Source organism: Homo sapiens, chromosome 15, assembly GCF_000001405.40.
Source record: "Homo sapiens chromosome 15, GRCh38.p14 Primary Assembly".
Classification (NCBI taxonomy): domain Eukaryota; kingdom Metazoa; phylum Chordata; class Mammalia; order Primates; family Hominidae; genus Homo; species Homo sapiens.
This window is the reverse complement of record NC_000015.10, coordinates 19,510,280-19,518,641: the sequence shown is the minus strand read 5'-3', so window position 1 is coordinate 19,518,641 and position 8,362 is coordinate 19,510,280. Positions and strand designations below refer to the sequence as shown.

At 37.8% G+C, this 8,362-nt stretch overlaps 1 annotated feature.

Annotated features, from left to right (window-relative positions):
- Window positions 1-8,362: part of a centromere (Linear centromere model derived predominantly from reads generated in PMID: 17803354. This region does not represent an actual centromere sequence, as long-range ordering of repeats and unmapped WGS contigs is not provided by the model. For details of model production, see http://arxiv.org/abs/1307.0035.) that runs on past both edges of the window.

Here is an 8,362-nt window from a genome sequence, read left to right as displayed (position 1 = left end):
ACCTGCTGTATGAATGGGAATGTTCAACTCTATGAGTTGAATGCAAACATCACAAAGAAGTTTCTGAGAATGCTGCTGTCTAGATTTTATATGAAGGTTTTCCCGCTTCCAACGAAATTTTCAATGCTCTCAAAATATCCTCTTGTAGATTCTACAAAAAGAGTGTTTCCAAACTGCTGTATCAAAACAAAGGTTCATCTCTGTTAGTTGAGGACACACATCACAAATAAGTTTCTGAGAATGCTTCTGTCTAGTTCTTATTTGAAGACATTTCCTTTCTCACCTTAGGCTTGAAAACGCTCGAAATATCCACTTCCAGATACGACAGAAACAGTGATTCAAACCTGCTCTATGAAAGGGAATGTTCAACTAGGTGACTTGAATGCAAACATCACAAAGCAGTTTCTGAGCAATGCTGCTGTCTACTTTCTATTTGTAATCCCGTTTCCAACGAAATCCTCAGAACTATCGAAATTTCCAATTGCAGATTCCACAAAAAGCGTGTTTCAAAGCTGCTCTGTAAAAAGAAAGGTTCAACTCTGTTAGTTGAATACACACGTCACAAACAAGTTTCTGAGAATGCTTCTGTCTAGTTTTTATGGGAAGATATTTCCTTTTTCACCGTAGGCCTCAAAGCGCTCCAAATGTCCACTTCCACATACTACAAAAAGAGTGTTTCAAACCTGCTGTATGAAAGGGAATGTTCAACTCTATGAGTTGAATGCAAACATTACAAAGAAGTTTCTGAGAATGCTTCTGTCTAGATTTTATATGAAGGTTTTCCCGTTTCCAACGAAATTTTCAATGCTCTCAAAATATCCTCTTGTAGATTCTACAAAAAGAGTGTTTCCAAACTGCTGTGTCAAAAAAAAGGTTCAACTCTGTTAGTTGAGGACACACATCACAAATAAGTTTCTGAGAATGCTTCTGTCTAGTTCTTATTTGAAGACATTTCCTTTCTCACCTTAGGCCTGAAAACGCTCGAAATATCCACTTCCAGATACGACAGAAACAGTGATTCAAACCTGCTCTATGAAAGGGAATGTTCAACTAGGTGACTTGAATGCAAACATCACAAAGCAGTTTCTGAGAATGCTGCTGTCTACTTTCTATTTGTAATCCCGTTTGCAACGAAATCCTCAGAACTATCGAAATTTCCAATTGCAGATTCCACAGAAACAGGGTTTCAAAGCTGCTCTGTAAAAAGAAAGGTTCAACTCTGTTAGTTGAATACACACGTCACAAACAAGTTTCTGAGAATGCTTCTGTCTAGTTTTTATGGGAAGATATTTCCTTTTTCACCGTAGGCCTCAAAGCGCTCCAAATGTCCACTTCCACATACTACAAAAAGAGTGTTTCAAACCTGCTGTATGAAAGGGAATGTTCAACTCTATGAGTAGAATGCAAACATTACAAAGAAGTTTCTGAGAATGCTTCTGTCTAGATTTTATATGAAGGTTTTCCCGTTTCCAACGAAATTTTCAATGCTCTCAAAATATCCACTTGTAGATTCTACAAAAAGAGTGTTTCCAAACTGCTGTGTCAAAAGAAAGGTTCAACTCTGTTAGTTGAGGACACACATCACAAATAAGTTTCTGAGAATGCTGCTGTCTACTTTCTATTTGTAATCCCGTTTCCACCGAAATCCTCAGAACTATCGAAATTTCCAATTGCAGATTCCACAAAAAGCGTGTTTCAAAGCTGCTCTGTAAAAAGAAAGGTTCAACTCTGTTAGTTGAATACACACGTCACAAACAAGTTTCTGAGAATGCTTCTGTCTAGTTTTTATGGGAAGATATTTCCTTTTTCACCGTAGGCCTCAAAGCGCTCCAAATGTCCACTTCCACATACTACAAAAAGAGTGTTTCAAACCTGCTCTATGATAGGGAATGTTGAAACCTATGAGTTGAATGCAAGCATTACAAAGAGGTTTCTGAGAATGCTTCTGTCTAGATTTTATATGTAGATATTCCCGTTTCCAACGAAATCCTCAAAGCTATCCAAATATCAACTTGCAGATTCTGCAAAAGGAATGTTTCCAAAATGCTGTATCCAAACAAAGGTTCAACTCTGTGAATTGAGGGCATACATCACAAAGAAGATTCTGAGAATGCTTCTGTCTAGATTTTATATGAAAATATTCCCGTTTCCAACGAAATCCTCAAAGCTATCCAAATATCCACTTGCAAATGCCACAAAAAGAGTGTTTCCAAACTGCTCTGTGAAAAGGAAGGTTCAACTCTGTTAGTTGAGTACACACATCACAAAGAGGTTTCTGAGAATGCTGCTGACTAGTTTTTATTTGAAGATATTTCCCTTTTCACCTTAGGCCTAAGAGTGCTCGAAATGTCCATTTCCACATACTCCACAAAGTGTGTTTCAAACGTGCTGTATGAAAGGGAATGTTCAACTGTATGAGTTGAATGCAAACATCACAAAGAAGATTCTGAGAATGCTTTTGTCTAGATTTTATATGAAGATATTCCCGTGTCCAACGAAATTTTCAAAGGTCTCCAAATATCCATTTGTAGATTCTACAAAAAGAGTGTTTCCAAACTGCTGTATCAAAACAAAGGTTGAACTCTGTGAGTTGAGGACACACATCACAAATAAGTTTCTGAGAATGCTTCTGTCTAGTTTTTATTTGAAGATGTTTCCTTTTTCACCATAGGCCTGAAAGCGCTCGAAATGTCCACTTCCAGATAGTACAGAAAGAGTGTTTCAAACCTGCTCTATGAACGGGAATGTTCAGCTCTGTGAGTTGAATGCAAACATCACAAAGCAGGTTCCGAGAATGCTTCCGTCTAGATTTTAAATGAGGATATTCCCGTTTCCAACGAAATCCTCGAAGCTATCCAAATATCCACTTGCAGATTCCACAAAAAGAGTGTTTCAAAACTGCTCTGTCAAAAGATAGGTTCAACTCTGTTAGTTGAGTACACACATGGCAAACAAGATTGCGAGAATGCTTTCGTCTAGTTTTTTTGGGAAGATATTTCCTTCTTCACCATAGGCCTCAAAGCGCTCCAAATATCCATTTCCACATGCTATACAAAGAGTGTCTCAAACCTGCTGTACGAATGGGAATGTTCAACTCTATGAGTTGAATGCAAACATCACAAAGAAGTTTCTGAGAATGCTGCTGTCTAGATTTTATATGAAGGTTTTCCCGCTTCCAACGAAATTTTCAATGCTCTCAAAATATCCTCTTGTAGATTCTACAAAAAGAGTGTTTCTAAACTGCTGTATCAAAACAAAGGTTCATCTCTGTTAGTTGAGGACACACATCACAAATAAGTTTCTGAGAATGCTTCTGTCTAGTTCTTATTTGAAGACATTTCCTTTCTCACCTTAGGCCTGAAAGCGCTCGAAATACCCACTTCCAGATACTACAGAAACAGTGATTCAAACCTGCTCTATGAAAGGGAATGTTCAACTATGTGACTTGAATGCAAACATCACAAAGCAGTTTCTGAGAATGCTGCTGTCTACTTTCTATTTGTAATCCCGTTTCCAACGAAATCCTCAGAACTATCGAAATTTCCAATTGCAGATTCCACAGAAACAGGGTTTCAAAGCTGCTCTGTAAAAAGAAAGGTTCAACTCTGTTAGTTGAATACACACGTCACAAACAAGTTTCTGAGAATGCTTCTGTCTAGTTTTTATGGGAAGATATTTCCTTTTTCACCGTAGGCCTCAAAGCGCTCCAAATGTCCACTTCCACATACTACAAAAAGAGTGTTTCAAACCTGCTGTATGAAAGGGAATGTTCAACTCTATGAGTCGAATGCAAACATTACAAAGAAGTTTCTGAGAATGCTTCTGTCTATTTTTTATATGAAGGTTTTCCCGTTTCCAACGAAATTTTCAATGCTCTCAAAATATCCACTTGTAGATTCTACAAAAAGAGTGTTTCCAAACTGCTGTGTCAAAAGAAAGGTTCAACTCTGTTAGTTGAGGACACACATCACAAATAAGTTTCTGAGAATGCTTCTGTCTAGTTCTTATTTGAAGACATTTCCTTTCTCACCTTAGGCCTGAAAACGCTCGAAATATCCACTTCCAGATACGACAGAAACAGTGATTCAAACCTGCTCTATGAAAGGGAATGTTCAACTAGGTGACTTGAATGCAAACATCACAAAGCAGTTTCTGAGAATGCTGCTGTCTACTTTCTATTTGTAATCCCGTTTCCAACGAAATCCTCAGAACTATCGAAATTTCCAATTGCAGATTCCACAAAAAGCGTGTTTCAAAGCTGCTCTGTAAAAAGAAAGGTTCAACTCTGTTAGTTGAATACACACGTCACAAACAAGTTTCTGAGAATGCTTCTGTCTAGTTTTTATGGGAAGATATTTCCTTTTTCACCGTAGGCCTCAAAGCGCTCCAAATGTCCACTTCCACATACTACAAAAAGAGTGTTTCAAACCTGCTCTATGATAGGGAATGTTGAAACCTATGAGTTGAATGCAAGCATTACAAAGAGGTTTCTGAGAATGCTTCTGTCTAGATTTTATATGTAGATATTCCCGTTTCCAACGAAATCCTCAAAGCTATCCAAATATCAACTTGCAGATTCTACAAAAGGAATGTTTCCAAAATGCTGTATCCAAACAAAGGTTCAACTCTGTGAATTGAGGGAATACATCACAAAGAAGATTCTGAGAATGCTTCTGTCTAGATTTTATATGAAAATATTCCCGTTTCCAACGAAATCCTCAAAGCTATCCAAATATCCACTTGCAAATGCCACAAAAAGAGTGTTTCCAAACTGCTCTGTGAAAAGGAAGGTTCAACTCTGTTAGTTGAGTACACACATCACAAAGAGGTTTCTGAGAATGCTCCTGACTAGTTTTTATTTGAAGATATTTCCCTTTTCACCTTAGGCCTAAGAGTGCTCGAAATGTCCATTTCCACATACTCCACAAAGTGTGTTTCAAACGTGCTGTATGAAAGGGAATGTTCAACTCTATCAGTTGAATGCAAACATCACAAAGAAGACTCTGAGAATGCTTTTGTCTAGATTTTATATGAAGATATTCCCGTGTCCAACGAAATTTTCAAAGGTCTCCAAATATCCATTTGTAGATTCTACAAAAAGAGTGTTTCCAAACTGCTGTATCAAAACAAAGGTTGAACTCTGTGAGTTGAGGACACACATCACAAATAAGTTTCTGAGAATGCTTCTGTCTAGTTTTTATTTGAAGATGTTTCCTTTTTCACCATAGGCCTGAAAGCGCTCAAAATGTCCACTTCCAGATAGTACAGAAAGAGTGTTTCAAACCTGCTCTATGAACGGGAATGTTCAGCTCCGTGAGTTGAATGCAAACATCACAAAGCAGGTTCTGAGAATGCTTCCGTCTAGATTTTAAATGAGGATATTCCCGTTTCCAAGGAAATCCTCGAAGCTATCCAAATATCCACTTGCAGATTCCACAGAAAGAGTGTTTCAAAACTGCTCTCTCAAAAGATAGGTTCAACTCGGTTAGTTGAGTACACACATGGCAAACAAGATTCCGAGAATGCTTTCGTCTAGTTTTTTTGGGAAGATATTTCCTTCTTCACCATAGGCCTCAAAGCGCTCCAAATATCCATTTCCACATGCTATACAAAGAGTGTCTCAAACCTGCTGTATGAATGGGAATGTTCAACTCTATGAGTTGAATGCAAACATCACAAAGAAGTTTCTGAGAATGCTGCTGTCTAGATTTTATATGAAGGTTTTCCCGCTTCCAACGAAATTTTCAATGCTCTCAAAATATCCTCTTGTAGATTCTACAAAAAGAGTGTTTCCAAACTGCTGTATCAAAACAAAGGTTCATCTCTGTTAGTTGAGGACACACATCACAAATAAGTTTCTGAGAATGCTTCTGTCTAGTTCTTATTTGAAGACATTTCCTTTCTCACCTTAGGCCTGAAAACGCTCGAAATATCCACTTCCAGATACGACAGAAACTGTGATTCAAACCTGCTCTACGAAAGGGAATGTTCAACTAGGTGACTTGAATGCAAACATCACAAAGCAGTTTCTGAGAATGCTGCTGTCTACTTTCTATTTGTAATCCCGTTTCCAACGAAATCCTCAGAACTATCGAAATTTCCAATTGCAGATTCCACAAAAAGCGTGTTTCAAAGCTGCTCTGTAAAAAGAAAGGTTCAACTCTGTTAGTTGAATACACACGTCACAAACAAGTTTCTGAGAATGCTTCTGTCTAGTTTTTATGGGAAGATATTTCCTTTTTCACCGTAGGCCTCAAAGCGCTCCAAATGTCCACTTCCACATACTACAAAAAGAGTGTTTCAAACCTGCTCTATGATAGGGAATGTTGAAACCTATGAGTTGAATGCAAACATTACAAAGAGGTTTCTGAGAATGCTTCTGTCTAGATTTTATATGTAGATATTCCCGTTTCCAACGAAATCCTCAAAGCTATCCAAATATCAACGTGCAGATTCTACAAAAGGAATGTTTCCAAAATGCTGTATACAAACAAAGGTTCAACTCTGTGAATTGAGGGCATACATCACAAAGAAGATTCTGAGAATGCTTCTGTCTAGATTTTATATGAAAATATTCCCGTTTCCAACGAAATCCTCAAAGCTATCCAAATATCCACTTGCAAATGCCACAAAAAGAGTGTTTCCAAACTGCTCTGTGAAAAGGAAGGTTCAACTCTGTTAGTTGAGTACACACATCACAAAGAGGTTTCTGAGAATGCTGCTGACTAGTTTTTATTTGAAGATATTTCCCTTTTCACCTTAGGCCTAAGAGTGCTCGAAATGTCCATTTCCACATACTCCACAAAGTGTGTTTCAAACGTGCTGTATGAAAGGGAACGTTCAACTCTATGAGTTGAATGCAAACATCACAAAGAAGATTCTGAGAATGCTTTTGTCTAGATTTTATATGAAGATATTCCCGTGTCCAACGAAATTTTCAAAGGTCTCCAAATATCCATTTGTAGATTCTACAAAAAGAGTGTTTCCAAACTGCTGTATCAAAACAAAGGTTGAACTCTGTGAGTTGAGGACACACATCACAAATAAGTTTCTGAGAATGCTTCCTGTCTAGTTTTTATTTGAAGATGTTTCCTTTTTCACCATAGGCCTGAAAGCGCTCGAAATGTCCACTTCCAGATAGTACAGAAAGAGTGTTTCAAACCTGCTCTATGAACGGGAATGTTCAGCTCTGTGAGTTGAATGCAAACATCACAAAGCAGGTTCTGAGAATGCTTCCGTCTAGATTTTAAATGAGGATATTCCCGTTTCCAACGAAATCCTCGAAGCTATCCAAATATCCACTTGCAGATTCCACAAAAAGAGTGTTTCAAAACTGCTCTGTCAAAAGATAGGTTCAACTCTGTTAGTTGAGTACACACATGGCAAACAAGATTGCGAGAATGCTTTCGTCTAGTTTTTTTGGGAAGATATTTCCTTCTTCACCATAGGCCTCAAAGCGCTCCAAATATCCATTTCCACATGCTATACAAAGAGTGTCTCAAACCTGCTGTATGAATGGGAATGTTCACCTCTATGAGTTGAATGCAAACATCACAAAGAAGTTTCTGAGAATGCTGCTGTCTAGATTTTATATGAAGGTTTTCCCGCTTCCAACGAAATTTTCAATGCTCTCAAAATATCCTCTTGTAGATTCTACAAAAAGAGTGTTTCCAAACTGCTGTATCAAAACAAAGGTTCATCTCTGTTAGTTGAGGACACACATCACAAATAAGTTTCTGAGAATGCTTCTGTCTAGTTCTTATTTGAAGACATTTCCTTTCTCACCTTAGGCCTGAAAACGCTCGAAATATCCACTTCCTGATACGACAGAAACAGTGATTCAAACCTCCTCTATGAAAGGGAATGTTCAACTAGGTGACTTGAATGCAAACATCACAAAGCAGTTTCTGAGAATGCTGCTGTCTACTTTCTATTTGTAATCCCGTTTCCAACGAAATCCTCAGAACTATCGAAATTTCCAATTGCAGATTCCACAGAAACAGGGTTTCAAAGCTGCTCTGTAAAAAGAAAGGTTCAACTCTGTTAGTTGAATACACACGTCACAAACAAGTTTCTGAGAATGCTTCTGTCTAGTTTTTATGGGAAGATATTTCCTTTTTCACCGTAGGCCTCAAAGCGCTCCAAATGTCCACTTCCACATACTACAAAAAGAGTGTTTCAAACCTGCTCTATGATAGGGAATGTTGAAACCTATGAGTTGAATGCAAACATTAGAAAGAGGTTTCTGAGAATGCTTCTGTCTAGATTTTATATGTAGATATTCCCGTTTCCAACGAAATCCTCAAAGCTATCCAAATATCAACTTGCAGATTCTACAAAAGGAATGTTTCCAAAATGCTGT